Here is a 20568-nt window from a genome sequence, read left to right on the forward strand (position 1 = left end):
TTGTTGTTTGTTTGTTTGTTTTTGTTTTTTGAGACAGAGTCTCGCTCTGTCACTCAGGCTGGAGTGCAGTGGTGCGAACTCGGCTCACTGCAAGCTCCGCCTCCCGGGTTCACGCCATTCTCCTGCCTCAGCCTCCCAAGTAGCTGGGACTACAGGAGCCTGCCACCACGCCCGGCTAATTTTTTCTGTATTTTTAGTAGAGATGTGGCTTCACCATGCTAGCCAGGATGGTCTCGATCTCCTGACCTCGTGATCCGCCTGCCTCGGCCTCCCAAAGTGCTGGGATTACAGGCGTGAGCCACCGTGCCCGGCCGCCCATGTTTTTTCATTTTGCCGAGTAGAAAAGAAAATACCATCTTCTATCATTGGAATGTCATAAAAGAAAGGACATTATAAACAACAAAAAAGTAGAACGGACATAATTTCATAGTAATGCATAGTCCTTATATTAAATAAATTAATTTTCATGGGAAAACTCAGGATTACGGCTTATTTTTCTCAGTTCGACATTTGTTTTCATCTGATGTGGGAATTTCTACATTAGACGATGATTTGGTATTCGATAATTCTGAACCAATTCTCTAATTTATCATAGTCTTTCAGAGAAAGGCTAACTTATTTCTCTGCACAGACAGGCAAATGATTTTCCCCCTATCCAGAGATATTCATATGGCATTTATTACCAGGAGTAAAGGGTAGGTAAGAGTTTTATTGATGTTACATGTTACATCTTTCTGCTACTCGTCTTTTCCAGCTCTTCCCACATTAATATACTGTTATTTAGGTATATTATGAAGGAAACAAAGAAAAAATGTATCTTTAAATCTCCATGGTTCAAAGTAAATTTTTGTCAGGTTACATATAAAAAACACCATGGTTTCTGAGCCACTGATACTTTATTCATAACAGGAGTATCAATTAATGCTGATAATTGTTGGCACCTTAAATTCTTTTCAAATATAACTGATAGCAAAAATAAAATTTTCAAGATAAAGAAAGGTTATGGAAAAAGAGTTTTACTAGTGTCCATGAAGGCGAGACGCCTTATGCACTAAACTGCTATGAGATCCATCGAAGGGCACGATAGGAAACTTACTTAGTAATTACAAGTTCGATCTTCGGTTTAAAAGTTAAAGAATCTAAATTCAGTCCTACAGCGGCTAAGGCAAGAGTGCCTGACATTCCTAAAAATTCCACTGGGGAGAAAAAAAAAACAAATGAATCAAATGCAATGTATTCATATCTGCACACTGAGACACTTTATCTTGAATAAAGAATTGGTGGGAATCTTAAGAGAAGTAGTAGTTCTTAGAAGGTTGCTTCAAGGGATTGACCTAATCCAGTAAACCTGGGGCTGGCAAACTTTTTCTATAAAGGGCCACATAGTAAATATTTAGTGTTTGTGATGCATACAGCCTCTGTTACAATGGTTCAACTCAGCTGTTGTAGTATAAAAGCAGCCATAGATAATATGTAAATGGATGTGTCCAGTAAAACTTGGTTTATAGACACTGAAGTCTGAATTTCACATAATTTTCATATGCCACAAAATATTCTTCTTTTGTGCCATTTTAAAATGTAAAAACCATTTTTAGCTAACAGGCAGATTTGGCCCAAGAGTCGCAGTTTGCCAAGTCCTGCTGGAGACCATCACTGAGGATAGGGCTAATGGAAAATAAGTTCAACAGCCCTCAAGGTGTCCTTTAAGCATCTCAGAAATACTGCACTGCATGTGCTGAGAGTTGTGAGCCAAGCTCAGTGCTTCTGATGACTCCAGTTCCTTACACCTGCTTTTCTTTTGCAGCTATAGACCTCCCTAATTAAACTTGTAATTTGTTGGGCTCTAAACAAATGTGTAAATGTATTAATAGTCTGAGGCAGGAAAACCAACCTGAAGGATATTTGAATACCATAAATACTCTGCAGTCTTAGGCTGCAGAGTCTTCAAATAGCACATTAAAACCGTCAGACAGAAAGGAAGACAAAGAACATGAAAGATAGGATTGGAAGAGCTTTGGGGGAAAGCAGAGCTGGTTGCTTTTGGAATGTGACCTCACCTTCCTCCATTAGTGGCCCCGTAACTATAAAATAGGTGTAAAATAGTTATGACTCATACAGTTGTGAAAATTAAATTAGAAAACATGAAAATGCTTGCCACACTTTTAAAGCAATGAATAAGTGATAATACTATCATGCTGTTAATTGTTTTTATCTACTTTGTTGCTTAGTAAATTAATAGTTTATTAATTTAAAGAGGAGTTTACTATTCTTTTGGTTTATCTAATCCCTTAAGTTCACTTTAGACTTCTTTTTATCTACTTATTTAACTGAATTTACTTTAAATAACCAATGACAATAAAACCAGGAGTGCCGCAAACTGTGATGACAGGGAAACTATCTTTCAATTTCCAATTCTCTATAATTGGTATTTTATAAAGAAGGGACAGTGGAAGTGATAAGCCCCAGTTACAGGCAACAAGGGGATGCATTGTTTGTAGACTTTTAAAACAATTATAAAGATGACAAAAACTCCTTCTACTTTTTATTATCTCCATTCCCCCAAAATTCTAAACACTGTCACTTGATAAAATATCCCTCCTTGCTAGGATGGAGGAGTCCCTCTTGGAATGCCTGTAGCCTACACTTTTCTAGAACCCATGTTCTTTCATGAATTATACATCAACACTCAAAGAGGTGACTCTCCAACCTCAATCAGATGCTTTTTGGACTTAAGCCAATTGATGGTATGTTCATTAGTCAGGGAAAAGAACAAAATTAAACAACATGAAAGAAATGTAATATTAAAGAATGTATAAGTGAGAATTTTATCTGCATTTTCGCTTTCCGGCTATGGAACATCTCCTTATAACACTGCCTTTTTCTGAGTTTGCTTTCAGGAACTTACTAAGTATGAGTAAAGGACTGCCTGAGGTTGTTTTTTAATTCCTGAAGCAGAGGAAAGTGTAACAAAGGAGGGAGGTGTATTGGTTTCCTGGGACTGCCATAATTGAATAGCACAAACTGGGGGGCTTAAACCACAGAAATGTATTGTCTCACAGTTCTGGAGCTAGAAGTCTAAGATCAGCAGGGTTAGTTCCTTCTGAGGGCTGTGATGGAGATTCTGTCCCAGGCCTCTCTCCTAGCTTCTGGTAGTTTCAGGCATTCCTTGGCTTATAGCTGGTATTCTCTCTGTGTCTTCACATAATCTTCCCTCTATGTGTATCTGTCGCTGTGTCCAAATTTCCCCTTTTTATAAGGATACAGTCATACTGGATTAGGACCCACCCTAATGACTGCATCTTAACTTGGTCATCTACAAAGGTCCTCTTTCTAAATAAAGTCACCTTTACAGGTACTGGAATGTAGGACTTCAACGTCTTTTGGGGGGACACAATTCAACCTAAAACAGGAGGCTACCTAGCAAGCTTTCATTCTGAGCAGCGGCACAGCGCTGCCTTGAAGCTACAAAGAATTGTTGGTTGAAATCAGTATATATAGCACACACAAGTGCTGACTCTGGGATGTATTTAAGCCTGAGGGGTTAATGCTAAATTCCTACCTTCTATCATTCATCCACACTCTGCAGTAAGTCTTACCTGAACAAATGCAACCAAAATACAGATATTTCCTCTCTGCTGGTGACAGCTACAATCTCAAAGGCATAATTTCTAGAGAAAATCATCATTCTGTTTAAGGCTGGTTCTTAGAGACCTGGTACCTGCTCAGGAAAGTTGTTAATTTTTTAGTAACTTTGTGAGCAGGTTGCTAACGAAAGCCATCCTTGAAATCAGCCACAGTAGATGTATTTATCCCATGAAAATTGACAAGCACTGCAAATCGGGGCTTTTTCTCTTCCCAGAGAGCCAATTTACCATCCCATCACTGCCTAACTCAGTCTCCCCATTTTACAGGTGAAGGAACTGAGGGTAAAGCTTAAACTAGAACCAAGGTCCTGGCTCAGTTCTCTGCGATCTCCACCTCCTAAAATCTAAATCACAAGTGTCTCAATTGTTTAAGGACCTTTTACTCCACAGCTATGCGACTTATACTCCTTCACAGAAATCAGCTTCAAAGTCTTATGATGCCGTTTAGTTAGCACAAAATAATCAGACTTCATAATGCTCAAATATATTTTTGGTAAACATTTGATTTGAATTGAATTGGGATTGAGCTGAATTGATCAGCTTTTTGGCTATATACCTGAATGAGCATAAGGAATTCATACTGCTTAACCAAACAACCCTATTCCAACTTGAAAAGTTGTATGTCAGAAATGGGAGACTTCTAATGTGGCAATAATGCTAAAAGACTCTAGGGAACCCCATCCTACCTGCCTGCCCTCAATTCATACACATCTGGTTAAGATGATGCCACACATTGACTGGAAGCATCTCCATTTTTTAGAAGGAAAAGGGAATAGGAACTCATATTTATTGACTGCCCTACCTTGAGCCCAGTGATGTGCTGGTAAATGTTTAAAGCCGGCTCTTTTCTGCAATTATACAGGCAGTAAGGGAAAAAAGCTTTTTAAAACCCAGTTCAAGGTTGGGGCGGTAGAGGGAACCCTGAGTTGCAGTGTTGCAGTGTCTTCCAATTTCTATGGTGTAAAGACTCACTGTGGCCAATTTCGAGCTCTCAACATAATGTCACTTGAACAGAGTTTGAAAGACAGGAGGATAATCAGCTCTGGCAAGCCAGCAAGAGCTATCAGCACACCAGCAGGAGTGAGTCACATGACAGATTATCTCATTAATGCCTGCAATACCCTTAATACATTAGGTGATATAACACTTTTTTTTTTTTTTGAGGCAGAGTCTCACTCTGTTGCCCAGGCTGAAGTGCAATGGCATGATCTTGGCTCACTGCAACCTCTGCCTCCCGGGTACAAGGGATTCTTGTGACTTAGCCTCCCCAGTGGCTGGAATTACAGGCGTGCGCCAGCACACCTGGCTAATTTTTTGAACTTTTAGTAGAGACAGGGTTTCACTATATTGGCCAGGCTGGTCTCAAACTCCTGGCCTCAAGTGATCCGCCTGCCTCAGCCTCCCAAAGTGCTGGGATTACAGGCGTGAGCCACTGCACCCAGCCTATCATACCACTTTTAAAGATAAGGAAAGTGAACCGTAGAGAGGTTAAGTAATTTTCCAGGGTCACCAAGCTAATAAATTGCAGAGCTGAGATTTGAACTCAAGTCTGCCTAACTCCAAAGCTCTTCGAGGACTAGTAGCAGTTTATTCAACCAACATGTGTTAAATTACTATCAGGCATATGGCAAGCTCCAAACATAGAAAAGAGAACAAATAAAAAGATGACTAAGAGCCTCCACCTCAAGGAACTCACAGTCTAGTAGAAAAATAGACTAAATTAAATTTTTTTCTTCAAACATTTAAGGCATCTATAAAAAGCAGCACAGGAGAGGGGAAAAATGAAGAAATTTGAAGGAAATGAGCGTTCAATGAATGCTTTCTATAATTTTACTGATTCAGGGCAGTGAGAAACCCTCAGGTGGCAATTAATCTGCAGAAGAAGCAGCGCTTTTAGGTAACTGGAGGTGAAAGAGAAGTAATTAACCTCTTGATACCTGAGGTCTTTGAAGAACCGAAGTTGCTTCACTGTCTGAGATGAGAGCAAAAGTGGAATTTGACAGTTTGGCCACAGTTACTACGTCTCTTAGGGACCGGGCACCTCAGTCAGGCCAGTAAACACTTAAATCTCCATTTCATTGGACTAAACTAGCTGAAGGTCAGCCAGTGCTGAGCACTCTTACTCCTGTGATTATTTCACTCTCCTGCTTCTCTTTCAACAATAAATATACCTCTCCCTTCCTGACTCTTAGCCTAAGTAAGAGCTGCCATTTCTACAGTCTTCTCAATTTGGCATCCATTGAATTAAAGGCTGTTGATCTAGAAAAGCCTCAGGAGCATCTCTCCTAGCCTTCTCAGTTTGCAGATGGTTTGTTCTGAGGGTTAGAGCAGAAATGAGCTCAATGTTGATTCCTCTGCCTGGGGAATGCCAGTGACTATATACAAAGTCAAATGAAGAGTCCAAAAAGAACAAGAGAGTAACCACAGAGAACAGTGCAAGGAAATTGGACATGGAGTTGAAATAAAAAGGATATTAAGAAAGACCAGGAAAGAGCTAGAGGTAAGTAAAATAATATGACAGGACACACAGTGGGGCCACAAAAAGGAGGAGAAGCAACTGGATTCAAGATCAGGAAAAAATAAACATGTATAAAACTTACTTTAAGGACAGTAATTTTTGTATTTATTTCAGCCTTACCAATATAGAAAGTCATGTACACCATTGAAAAGCAGAGAATGATATTAGTCAGCATATTGCTAAAAACGTCAGCCAATATACACTGAATGATTTTTGCACACCAATATCCAAATATTATGCTTCCCAAAATGTCATAGCTGAGTTCAATGCCTACATGTAAATCTAAAAAAAAGAAAGAAAAAATAAGAAATAAAAACTTGAGCTATAACTTTTGTCTCTTTCACTGATGGCATTTGGGTCTTTGCACTTTGGTTTGCTTGTGAGATTTTGAGTGGACACCTTATTTGTCAGCAAATAGGAGTGTCTTGTGAAAGTCTGGTAAAAAAACCTCTCTCAGAATAACCTTCCCTTACAGTCCGCAGCTTAAGGTTTGCTTATCTAGGGATAGAAGATTCAAATGTCCTCAGGAGAAAGGCAAGGAGAATAAATGGGAAAAACTTGTGACAAATGGGTTTAGAGTGAATGTCTAAACAAAAAAAATCTAAATTAAAAATTTTTAGATAAACTATGTCAAGACCAAGCTAACTAGGCCCAGGGTCACTGCTAACCTGCAGTTAGTTTATGACCCCTGCCCCCAGCCCAGGAGACATTGGAAAATGAAGATAAGAAATTTTCATTAGTCACAATAACTGGGGGCACTAGTGGCAGTCAGTGGGTAGCTATCAGGGTAGTCCTAAATGACAAAAATTGTCCCACCCCAATGCCCGGTAGCTCCCTCATTGAGAAGCACTGCAAACCCCTCTTTATTCATTAATATTTATTTCTCCTTTTAGTATCTTCCTCCTCTTGTGACTATCACAAAAGTATATCAGAAAAACACATTTTCTCCATTCATACTGTGATTTTTTCCCCTTTTCATTTCTACTAGTAACACATCTGGAAACCTAGCAAGGCAACAGCTTCATATCCCAGTGGGCTTTAGCTGCAGGAATCTGGCTCTTGTCACTTCTAGGACTGGATTCTCCAGTCCTGCATACAATGTTCTGCTTTCACTCTGAGACCCAAATCCAGAACCAAGCCAATTCTTAGCACTCAGTCACTGAGATCCAGATTGATCCAGTAAAGAAGTAATTCTGAGCGAGCTGACACTATATGTGTCTATTGTGACACTATATGTGTGCACACATGCATTTATGCATATTGAGAAAAACTAAAGCACTTTTTAAATGTTCTTTCCCCCTTAATGTCCAAGAACACACATGCAGTCCTCCTTCGGGTATCCATGGGGCATTGGTTCCAGGAACCCCTTTGGATACCAAAATCTGCAGATTCTCAAAACCTTGGATATAAAATAGCATATTATTTGCATATAACCTACAGCACATACTTCTGTGTACTTTAAATCATCTCTAGATTACTTCTAATACTTAATACAATGCAAATACTCTATGTAAATAGCTATACTGTATTGCATTTTAATTTGCATTTTTATTGTTGTATTGTTATTTTTATTGAGTTTTTCTGAATATTTTTGATCTGCAGTTGGTTGAATCCGTGGATGCAGATGGTCAACTATGATTTTTTTCTTGTTACTTCATATATCATTGTAATCAGCCCAAAAGTAAAGTATAGAGAAGGCAGCAAAGTTAAAACATTTGAATGTATTTTAATTTTAATGAGAATGATTTTAGAAAATATACAGACAAAAAATGCTCCTACCTCTAAAAATAGAAAAGTGGATTCTGTTGCCCCGAAAATTTCCAAAAAAAATTGATGCGATGCTACAAATGATCAATGATTCTCCTCTAATGAGATCAATGTATATTTTAGAAATGCCTGAAAAAGGAAATACAAAATGTAACTCAATATGCTACATGAAAATAATGTTCTTGCACAGGAAGCAGAAACAGAAGAGAAAGAACAGAAAAAGAAAAAAGAGAAAGAACAAGGCAACTATGACTGGGATGGGTCTGTAAGACAATCACAATCACCATTTTTAAATTTCTATATTGTGCCTCCTGCATTTGCAATGGCAAAGAAACATGGCGATAGCACTGCTTGTATTGTTCATTGTCTCAACCATACTTGAGTTTCAGAATGAGACAAATACTTCTCAAGATACCACATTTAGTTTGAATAAACCTGAATCAGATTCCAAAATAACCTCATTTTAGAAATAAGTACAAAATAGGACCCAGCAATTCTACTCCTAGGTATATACCCAAGGTAATTGAAAATGTATGTCCACACAAAGATTTGTACGTAAACATTCATAATAGTATTATTCATAGGAGCTAAAAGGTGGAAACAACTCAATGTCTATCAGCTGATAAATGAATAAATATATGTGATATATCCCTAAAATGAAGTATTATTCCTCCACAAAAATGAATGAAGTACTTACTGATACTATTAAAACCTGAACCTTGAAAACATTATACTAAGTGAAAGAAGCCAGACACAAAAGCCACATATTGTATGATTTGATTTACATGAAATGTCCGTGATAGACAGATACATAGAAACCAAAAATAGATTGGTTGTGATTTCCAGAGGCTTGAGTAGATAAAATTCCACAGCCAAATTTCCATCTAACATCATTTTCTTTCTGCCTAGAAGACTTTTAACAATTTTGTAGTGCAGGCCTGCTGATGATAAATTCTTTCAGTTTTTGTATGTTTAAGAAAGTCTTCATTTTACCTTCTCTTTCAAAAGATATTTTCACTGAGTGTAGAATTCTAAGTCTGTTGTCATTATTTTTGTTCCTCTAAATACAATGTGACTTTTGTCTCTGGCTGCTTTTAAAATTTTCTCTTTATAATTGGTTTTAAGGAATTTGCTTTTTATGTGCTTTTGTGTAGTCTTCTTTATATTTCTTGGGTTGCAGTTTATTGAACTTGTTGAATCTGTAGCTTTCATTATTATCAAATTTAGAAACTTTTTCTCAGGATTTCTTCAAATTTTTTGTTCCTCCCTCTCTTTTCTTTCGGGGACTCATACATTAGGTCATTTGAAGTTGTCCACAGCTCACACTGATGCTCAGTTCATGTTTTCTCGTCCTCTTCTCTCTGTGTTTCATTTTAGACAGTTTCTATTGCTACATCTTCAAGCTCTCTCCACCTTCTCTTTTGGCTTAATGTGGACCTAATTTATATTAGTCCACAATGAATTATATTCATTGTAAAATTTGGAAAAGAAAAGAATAAAACAAATCTTCTATAATTCTATGATGACCCAGATATAACCATTTTAAAGTTGAAGTCCTTTTCTAAGCATATGGTTCTTTTTACTCAATTGAGATCATACTAACACTCTATATTTTATTTCTTTACAAGATCCTCTTCCAGATTTGCTTTAAAATAAAAGTTATTTAAGCGCTTACACTCTTTTAAAACAGGTAATGGATAGACAATTTCCTTTTAACTTACATATGAACGTCTACTACACTTTTGACTGGGCCAGTCCACTTTAGATTTAGGTTGTACAGGTTTACAATGCAGATGGGCACCTCATCAAAAGAAACACTATTAACATTATAGAAATTGTAGTTCTGTATATTATAATTTTAGGCATTTGGCAAAAAATAGTTTTTGCTTAAAAAAATAATGTATTATGACTATTTTATTTAATAGTTTCTTTTATTTAAGAAAACTGTTTTGAAGAAAGAACCATTTATCTAATTCACACAAAGGGACAATATGATGGCCCAGCCAACACCCAAAACAAGTGAGAGTGACTTTCCCCATAAAAATAAGTCAAATTTGTCTTATCAGGAGACAATGCTACTGGATCCAGAATCTATCTAACCTCCTGAGTGTTATTGACATAAAAAAATATAAAAATTAAGAGCCAACCCAATACCTTCACTAGTTTCGTCTTAAAGCAATAGAAGACTTTCAGCCGGGTGCAGTGGCTCATGCCTGTAATCCCAGCACTTTGGGAGGCCAAGGTGGGTGGATCATCTGAGGTCAGGAGTTCGAGATCAGCCTGGCCAACATGGCAAAACCCCCTCTCTACTAAAAAATACAAAAATTATCCAGGCGTAGCAGCACATGGCTGTAATCCCAGCTACTCGGGAGGCTGAGGCAGGAGAATCGCTTAAACCCAGGGGGTGGAGGTTGCCATGAGCCAAGATCATGCCATTGCACTCCAGCCTGGGGTATAGAGCGAAACTCCGTCTCAAAAAATAAAAAAATAAAAAAAAAGAAGACTTTCTACTGTACTCCTTTTTTTGAAAAAAAATTGAATGTTGAAACTGCAATAAATAACATTTATAGTTTATTATAACCATTTACAGTCAAGAGAGTGCAGAAAGGAGAGCAGGAAGCAAAATGAGGTAATGAAACAAGAGGTAAATACAAATGGTTGAAAGAATAAGACAGGTAAGGAAAGACAGAAAAAAATTGTACTTAAGGGAGCAAAGAGAAAAAAGAGAACAGGATCAGAGTCTTTGAGAAATGTATCTACCTTGTAACAATTTAGAACAGAACCTCCAAAAGTGCCTAAAACTCTATGTTTTCCCAGCTAGGAGTATGAAAATAAGAATATCACAAGCTGGAAAGGTTGGAGGTTTTTCACTCCACTCATAAGGTAGTATATTTCCACTAAATACAATTGATACTTTAAAATTGGTTAGGAAAATATTTCCGAGTCAAAAACAGAAACCATAGCATCTAGCCATTCATGTTGATACTGCTGTGTTAATAAAACCTGACCGTTTGACCCAGCAATCCCATTACTGGGTATATACCCAAAGGAATATAAATCATTCTACTATAAAGACACATACACATGTATGTTTATTACAGCACTATTTACAATAGCAAAGACATGGAACCAACCCAAATGCCCATCCATGATAGACTGGATAAAGAAAATGTGGTACATAAACACCATGGAACACTATGCAGCCATAAAAAGGAATGAGATCATGTCCTTTGCAGGGACATGGCTGAAGCTTGAAGCCATCATTCTCAGCAAACTAACACAGGAACAGAAAACCAAACACCACATGTTCTCACTCATAAGTGGGAGTTGAACAATGAGAACATATGGACACAGGGAGGGAAGCAACACACACCGGGGCCTGTTGGGGGGTGGAGGTGAGGGGAGTGAGCTTAGAGTACAGGTCAATAGGTGCAGCAAACTACCATGGCACACATATACCTATGTAACAAATCTGCACATTCTGCACGTGTATCCCATTTTTGTTGTTGTTGTTGTTGTTGTTTTTAGAAGGAACAAAGAAAAAAAAAACCTGACAATAGGGGGATATTTCAGAGTGAAATCATCTTCCACCTTACCAAATAATATGGGAAATAGTGCAGGACTCCAAATCCTCTTGGGAATAAGCTTTTATTGAGTAATACATTTGAGTGCCAAACTATATCCTTACCCCTTTTCTTGAAGATAAACTATAAACCCCTCCACCACCTGCCAAACCTTAGCTATTCCAAATGGAGGCAGTTCTAACAAGAGGTAGCAAGGCCTTGGAATAGTCTCTTTAGGGATCTTTAATGTTTCCCCTTATTGGTAAACAAACTCACCAACTTAGAATATCTACCTTGTGGCTAAGAATTCACTGGAACAGAATAATAATGCCAATTTTTATCACCTTCTAGAAGGTTACTTTTTCTTTGAAAAAAAATGAAAAACTTCCTTGGAGATTATAATTGGCACTACTTATCTCATCTCCTTGGTGGCTGTCTTATTTGCACTGTCTCCTTAAAGTCAATCAGTGCTCTACCTCTCAAGGTGAAAAAAAAAGCACAGAGTCTTATTCTTCTGGGTGCACAATTCATGCAAGAAAAATATAATCAAAAGAAAATAATGTACCCTTATATTTTCAAGATAAGAGAGAGAAATAAATGTGACATACCAATAGTTTTTAGTGAATTCACAGAACGAAGAGGATCTATAATGCCAAGGGTGATGCTAAAGAGTAGGCAAGATTGCAAATCCCATGAATCTTTATTGAATTTTATAACGACATATCCAATTATGATGCTTGCTGTAGAAAAGCTAATTAATCCAGTTAACAAGACCTGTGAACCAATTCATAACACAGTATTAGACTTAACATCTAAAGATGGCATGATGGCATTTACTTATATCCTAAGAGTCAGATCTTGGTTGTAAATGTTATACAATTACCCTGGAAGATAACTTTAAAAGGTATTCTAGTTTAACCACCTGCCACAAAGAAACCGCCCCTTTCAAATAAGCAAGATTCTACCTTATTATTAAAAAGACTGACTCAACTATCTTTCTTGTTGTTATTCTAGTTCAATGGTTCTCAATATGAAAGGTTCTTAAACAGAATGCAAATTTCTCCTGCTTCTATATAAAACATATCCTGATTAGTTTGGAAAGTAAATTGTTAGTGACGTATTGTGTCTGGTACATGACACAAATTTATATACCAAGACTCTAAAATAGTCACAGAAAATGCCCCCCTTTACCTTTTATTAGTTGTAAAATAAGTAGTTCTGCAATAGAGAAAGGGAAGGCCATGAAATGCTTGAGATTAAGTGATTTACAGAGTTTTGTAATTTCTATGCACACATTGTTTATGCCCAAGTATAAGAAAGTATTTATTTTTCAAAGTCATCCTCAGGAAAAAAAATAGTTGTGTTATTCAATCCTTTTCTTATTTTCCATCTCTGTCTTTTGTTTTACTTTCTGTGAGGTTTTCACAATTTGACCATTAGGTCCTTTTATTTCTTTATCTATTGTAACGTCATATGGTTTTTCTTCTTAAATCTCATAAGAGCATGAATTACATTAAGCAATTTTTTAAATGTTAAATTAACCTTGTTCTGAAATAAACACAACTTGATCATGTTTTTATTATTTATATGTTACTAGATATATTTGTGCCAAAATTTGTGTGGAATTGTTCTATGTTTGTGGGTGACATTGACTTATGATTTTTCTTTCTCTTAATATTCCTGTATAGTTTTGGTGTTAAGATTAAACAAGGCTTATAAAATAAGTAAGGGAGGAGGCCAGGTGCAGTGGCTCATGCCCATAATCCCAGCACTTTAGGAGGCAAGGCAGGAGGATATCTTGAGTTCAGTAGTGTAAGACCAGCCTGGGAAACATAGTGAGACTCCCACCTCTACAAAAAAAAAAATTAAAAATTAGCTGAGCATGGTGGTGCACACCTGTAGTACCAGCTACTCAGGAAACTGAGGTGGGAGGATTGCTTAAGCACAGGAGTTTGAGGTTGCAATGAACCATGATATTACCACTGCACTCCAACCTGGCCAACAGAGAAAGACCCTGTCTCTAAAAATAAAATAAGTGCGGGAGGATTTCCTCTTTTACTCTTGTCTGTAAGACATAAGATTGGAGTTATCTTTCATACTGGTTCACATAACTTACATTTAAAATAGTTTGGGTCTCATTTTTTTTGGAACATTTTTATTTGCCAATTCAATTTTTAATGATTATGGGACTATTTGGGTCTTTTTAAATTCTAGAGTAGGCCAGCCACGGTGGCTCATGCCTGTAATCCCAACACTTTGGAAGATTGAGGCAGGAGGATCGCTTGAGGCCAGAAGCCTAGAAAGCAGCCTGGACAAGAGAGCGAGACCTTGCCTTTACTAAAAATAAGAAAAAATTAGCCAGGCATGGTGGCATGTGCCTGTAGCCCCAGCTATTCCAGAAGCTGAGATGGGAGGATCACTTGAGCCCAGGAGGTCGAGGCTGGAGTAAGGGGTAATCATGCCACTGTACTCTATCCTGGGTGACAGAGCTAGACTCTGTCTCAAAAAAAAATAGATATATAAATAAATAAAAAGAATTTCTAGTGTAAGTTTTGGCAAATTACATATTTTTAGGAATTTCCCATTTTGTCCGAATTTTTAAATATTTTTGCTGAATCACAAAGAAAATAAGGCATCAAAAGTAGAGGGATGCAATCAAAGCAGTGTTTAAAGGGAAACTTATAACATTAAATGCATATATTGGAAAAGAATAAAGGTTAAAAATGTTTATGATTCAATTAAGCCTAGCAGTAGGTTACATATTGTTAAAGTAGTAAATGGGAAGCTAAATTTGAGGAAATTACATACAATACAGCACTGAAAGATAAAAGACAGAGAATTTAAAATCATGGAGAATATGATGGAAAATCTACAACTAATGGGAATTTAAGAATGAAATAACAAGGCCTGGCACCGTGGCTCACTCCTACAATCCCAGCACTCTGGGGGGCCCAGGCGAGCAGATCTTCTGAGGTTAGGAGTTCCAGACCAGCCTGGCCAACATGGTGAAACCCCGTCTCTACTAAAAATGCAAAAATTAGCCAGGTGTGGTGGCGGATGCCTGTAATCCTAGCTGCTCAGGAGGCTGAGGCAGGAGAATTGCTTGAACCCAGGAAGCGGAGGTCACAGTGAGCTGAGATTGTGCCATGGCACTCCAGCCTGGGCAACAGAGTGAGACTCCATCTCAAAAAAAAAAAAAAAAGAAATAACAGAGTATAGAAAATATTTAAAAGATAATAGCCGAAATTGTGGCTAGAACTGATGAACTATATTAATTCTCAGATTTAGTAACCATAAGAAGTCTTAATATGTATAAATAAAAAGATACTAACACCCAGAAACATCACAGTGAAACTAAAATAGTCCTCCTTTATCTGCAAGGGATATGCTCCAAGACCCCAGTGGATGCCTAAAACCACGGATAGTACCCAACCCTATATATACTATGGTTTTTTAAAATACATATATATCTATGATAATGTTTAATTTATAAATTAGGCACAGTAAAAGATTAACAACAATAACTAATAATAAAATAGAACAAGTGTAACCATATGACAGCATCACTACTCTTGCACTTTGGAGCTATTATAAAGTAAAATAAGGGTTATATGAACACAAGCACTGTGATACTGTATGTTCTATCTGATAACAGAGATGGCCACTAAGTGACTAACGGGCAGGAGATAATGTATACACAGTGGGTATGCTGGCCAAAGGGATGATTCACTTCCTGGGCAAGACAGAGTAAAATGGCACAAGATTTTATCACACTACTCAGAAAGGCACACAATTTAAAACTCATGAATTTTTCTGGAATTTTTCATTTAATATTTTCTTTTAAAAAAATACTTTTATTTTAGGTTCTGGGGTACATGTGTAGGGTTGTTATACAGGTAAACTTGTGTCATGGGGGTTTGTTGTGCAGATTTTTTCATCACCCAGGTACTAAGCCTAGTATACAATAGTTATTTTTTCTGAACCCTCAAGTAGGCCCCAGTGTCTGTTGTTCCCCTCTTTGTGTCCATGAGTTCTCACCATTTAGCTTCCACTTGTAAGTGAGAGCATGCAGTATTTGGTTTTCTGTTACTGCCTTAGTTTGGTAAGGATAATAGCCTCCAGCTCCATCCATGTTCCCGCAAAAGACATGATCTCATTCTTTTTTATGGCTGCACAGTATTCCATGGCAAATATGTACATTTTCTTTATACAATCTGGCATTGATGGGCGTTAAGTTGATTCCATATCTTTGCTATTGTGACTAGTGCTGCAATGAATATTCATGTGCATGTATCTTCACGGCAGAATGATTTATAGTCCTTTGGGTATATATCCCGTAATGGGATTGCTGGGTTGAATGGTAGTTCTATTTTTAGCTCTTTGAGGAATTGCCACACTGCTTTCCACAGTGGTTGAACTAATTTACACTCCCACCAAGATTGTATAAGTATTCCCTTTTCTCTGGAACCTCGACAGTATCTATTATTTTTTGACTTTTTAATAACAGCCATTCTGACTGGTGTGAGATAGTATCTCATTGTGGTTTTGATTTGCATATCTCTATTATCAGTGATGTTGAGCTTTTTTTCATATGCTCGTTGGCTGCAAGTATGTCTTCTTTTGAAGGGTGTCTGTTTTTATCCTTTGCCCACTTTTTAATGGAGTTGTTTTCTTGTAAATTTGTCTAAATTCCTTATAGATGCTAGATATTAGACCTTTGTCACATGCATAGTTTGCAAATATTTTATCCTATTCTATAGGCTGTTTCCTCTGTTGATAATTTCTTTTGCTGTGCATAAGCCCTTAAGTTTAATTAAATCCTATTTGTTAATTTTTGCTTTTGTTGCAGTTGCCTTTGGCATCTTTCATTATGAAATATTTGCTTGTTCCTATGTCCAGAATGGTATTTCCTAGCTTATCTTCCATGGTTTTTATAGTTTTAGGTTTTATGTTTAAATCTTTAATCCATCTTGAGTTGATTTTTGTATATGATGTAAGAAAGGGGTCCAATTTCAACCTTCTGCATATAGCTAGCCAGCTATCCAAGCACAATTCATTGACTAGGGAGTCCTTTACCCATTGTTTGTTTTTATCAGCTTTGTTGAAGATCAGACGGTTTTAGGTGTGCAGCCTTATTTTTGGGCTCTGTATTCTGTTCCATTGGTCTATGTGTCTGTTTTTGTACCATGCTGTTTTGATTACTGTAGTCCTGTAGTACAGTTTGAAGTTGGATAATGTGATGCCTCCAGCTTTGTTCTTTTTGCTTAGGATTGCTTTAGCTATTTGGGGTCTTTTTTGGTTCCACATGAATTTTAAAATAATTTTTTTCTAGTTCTGTGAAGAACATCTTCGGCAGTTTGATAGAAATAGCACTGAATTGGTAAATTGCTTTGGGTAGCCATTTTAATGATACTGATTCTTTCTATCCATGAGCATGGAATGTTTTTCCATTTGTTTGTGTCTTCTCTGATTACTTTTAGCAGTGTTTTGTAGTTCTCATTGTAGAGATCTTTCACCTCCCTGGTAAGCTGTATTCTAGATATTTTAGTCTTTTATGTCAATCGTGAATGAGATTGCATTCCTAATTTGGCTCTCAGCTTGGCTGTTTTTGGTGTATTGCAATGCTAATGATTTCATACATTGATTTCCTATCCTGCAACTTTGCTGAAGTTATTTATCAGCTGAAGGAGATTTGGGGCTGAGATTATGGGGTTTTCTAGATATAGAATAATGTTGTCTGCAAAGAGGGATAGTTTGACTTCCTCTCTTCCTATTTGGATGCCTCATCTACAAAGGAAACGCCATCAGGCTAACAGTGGACCTCTCAGCACAAACCCTACAAGACAGTGGAGATCAGGAGCCTGTGTTCAACATTCTTAAAGAAAAAAATCTTCAACCAAGAATTTCCTACCCAGCCAAACTAAACTTCCTAAGCAAAGGAAAAATAAGATCCTTTTCAGATAAGCAAATGCTGAGGGAGTTCATTACCACCAGACCCACCTTACAAGAGATCTTGAATGAAGCACTAAATATGGAAAGGAAAGACTGTCACCAGCATATACAAAAACACACTGAAGTACACAGATCAGTGATACTATAAAGCAACCTCACAAACAAGTCAGCATAATAAACAGCTAACAACACAATGACAGGATCAAATCCACACATATCAATAATAACCTTGGCCTGGCGCGGTGGCTTATGCCTGTAATCCCAGCACTTAGGGAGGCCGAGGCAAGTGGATCATGAGGTCAGGAGTTTGAGACCAGCCTGGCCAACATGGTAAAACCCCATCTCTACTAAAAATACAAAAATTAGCCAGGTGTGGTGGTGTGCTCCTGTAATCCCAGCTACTAAGGAGGCTGAGGCAGGAGAATCACTTGAACCTGGGAAGTGGAGATTTCAGTGAGACGAGATTGTGCCACTGCACTCTAGCCTGGGCAGTAGAGTGAGACTCTGTCTCAAAATAATAATAACATTCAATGTAAATGGACTAAATGCCCTATTTAAAAGGCACAGAGTGACAAGCTAGATTAAAAAGCAAGACCCAATGGTATGATGTCTTCAAGAAACCTATCTCACATGGAATGACACCCATAGACTCAAAATAAAGGAGTGGAGGAAAATCTACCAAGCAAATGGAAATCAGAAAAATGCAGGGGCTGTTACCCTAATTTTAGACAAAACAGACTTTAAGCCAACAAAGATCAAAAAAGACAAAGAAGGGCATTACATAATGGTAAAGGGTTCAATTCAACAAGAAGACCTAACTATCCTAAATATATATGTACCCAACACAGGAGCACCTAGATTCATAAAGCAAGTTCTTAGAGACCTACATTTAATATTTTCAAACCATAGTTGACCACAAGTAACTGAAACCTTGGATAACTGAAACTGTGGAAAGTGAAATGGTGGATAAAAGGTAACTACTGTACAGAACACCAAAGAAAAAGAGACAATCTGAAAAGAGAGAAAAGACAGGTACTTACAGAAGAATGACAATTAGATTGATAGCAGTTGTCTCAAAAGCAACAATTAGGCTCAGGTATTATTCAAATTGAGACAAAACAGATACATTTTCAGAGAAACAAAGACCACTAAATGAAAAAAGATGACTACTCATAGACCTTTAATGAAAAGGACACAAAATCACAGCTAGATAGGAGTAAGTTCTAGTGTTCTATAACACTGCAGGATGACTATAGTTAACAGCAATATACTATATAGTTTCACATAGCTAGAAGGAAGACATTGAATGTTCCCTACATGAAGAAATAATGTTTCAGAAGATAAATATGCTAATTACCCTGATCTGATCATTATACATTATATATATTGAAAGATCACTATGTATTCCATAACTATGTACAATTATTAGTCAATTTAAAATTACAATTTTTAAAAAGCTGCTAGAGCAAAAATTCAGGAGAAAGGAAGCTGAATCCAGAAAGATGGAGTTGGATGCAAGAAGGAGCAGTGAGCAAAGAAATGGAAATTGATAAGCATGTAGATGAGTGTAGAGAAGCACTGGTACCTAAAACATTACAATCACAATAATAATGATAATGACTAATTTCAGGGATGGTAGTATTATGTCAATAATGTAATAAAATATAAGATGAGAAAGGATAATTAAAGCATTCTGAAGTTCCTGCCTTATTTGGAGGAAAGTAGAGATATTTAGCTTTAGACTTGTTAAATCAAATATAATTATTAAAATTTAAGATTTTTAAAACGTATGAAACCAGTAAGAATTGTATTTAGGAATATAGAAATTTTGACTGCATTTAACAGAAAAGAGCACTTACAGTGTCAATAAATGGAGATTTTGGTTGTTTTGTTTTTTGTTTTTGTTTTTGAGACAGAGTCTCGCTCTGTTGCCCAGGCTGGAGTGCAATGGCACAATCTTTGCTCACTGCAACCTCTGTCTCCCAGGTTCAAGTGATGCTGCTGCCTCAGCCTCCTGAGTAGCTGGGATTACAGGTGCATGCCACCATGCCTGGCTAATTTTTTGTATTTTTAGTAGAAATGGGGTTTCTACTAAACCTGACCTCGTAATCTGCCTGCCTTGGCCTCCCAAAGTGCTGAGATTACAGGCATGAGCCACTGTACCTCAAGTAATCCTAAATCCAGAATAAACTGCCTTATGTTAGTATGTCGGCTCTCAATGCTCTTAAGGACCCAGGCTCTTTTTTTCTCTTTATGTTCAATCATATGTAGTGCCTGTTCTCATGTTCACCACTTCACAATCTCAAGATGGATATTCATTCTAGCCCACTGGAGGGCTCCAGGCAGAAAGAGAGGTAAAGCAAAGAGCAAAAAGCACATGCCAGCTGATTTGACCCCCTTATTAAGGGCTTTCTAGAAGCCTATTCAGCAAACTTTTGTACACTTTTTATTGGCCAAACTATCTTCTTAGGGTACCAAAGTTGTTAGGGATGCTTGGAAATATGATATTTTACATAAGCCTATTGCCATACCAAACGAAAAATTTTAACTTTCTGTAAGTGAGAAAGAGAGGGAGACTGCATATTGGATAAGCAACCAGAAATGCCTGCCACCAAAAAATAGAACATAAAATTTTTAAATTAGTAGAAGGAACAAAGGGGATAAAGAAAACTGAATTCAATTAATTCAGAAAAGGAAGAATGAGAAAAAGCATGTAAATAAAATGATGAAATAATATGTGAGAAAAAGTCAAAATATATTTCTTTTAAAAACTTTATTTTCAATTTATAAACAGTAAAATCTACTCTTTTGGTGTACAGTTATATGAGTTTTGATAAATGCATACAGTTATGTAATCACACCACAACTAAGAAACAAAACAGATACATCACTCCCAAAAATTTCCTCATGCTATATCTTTGTGGTCAATTCTTTTCCCCAACACCATTCCCTAGCAACCAATGATGTTCTCCAGACCTACAGTTTTGCCATTTTTAGAAGGTCTATGAATGTAATTTTATAATTTGTATGTACCCCTTGGAGGCTGGCTTATTTCTCTTAGCACAATGCATTTTAAATTCTTCCTTGTTGTGCCTATCGATACTCCATTCCTTTTTTATTGCTG

At 37.1% G+C, this 20568-nt stretch overlaps 1 protein-coding gene across 14 annotated transcripts in view; it reads right to left on the reverse strand.

The window, feature by feature from the left end:
• SLC9C2 (solute carrier family 9 member C2 (putative)) overlaps positions 1–20568 on the reverse strand; it is a 102613-nt gene that overhangs the window by 75105 nt on the left and 6940 nt on the right. For 10 of the 14 annotated variants that reach the window (XM_017001074.2, XM_017001073.2, XM_017001071.2 and 7 more), the window contains 4 exons: positions 12101–12266; positions 7942–8058; positions 6283–6444; positions 1097–1196 (listed from right to left, as the gene is read on the reverse strand). In XM_017001074.2, the coding sequence (XP_016856563.1) occupies positions 1097–1196; positions 6283–6444; positions 7942–8058; positions 12101–12266 (545 nt within the window). Of the gene's footprint in view, positions 1–1096; positions 1197–6282; positions 6445–7941; positions 8059–12100; positions 12267–20568 lie in introns of those variants that run through there. The other 4 variants (XM_047418170.1, XM_047418169.1, XM_017001072.3 and 1 more) reach the window with 2 other exon arrangements.

Source organism: Homo sapiens, chromosome 1 (genome assembly GCF_000001405.40).
Source record: "Homo sapiens chromosome 1, GRCh38.p14 Primary Assembly".
Lineage (NCBI taxonomy): Eukaryota > Metazoa > Chordata > Mammalia > Primates > Hominidae > Homo > Homo sapiens.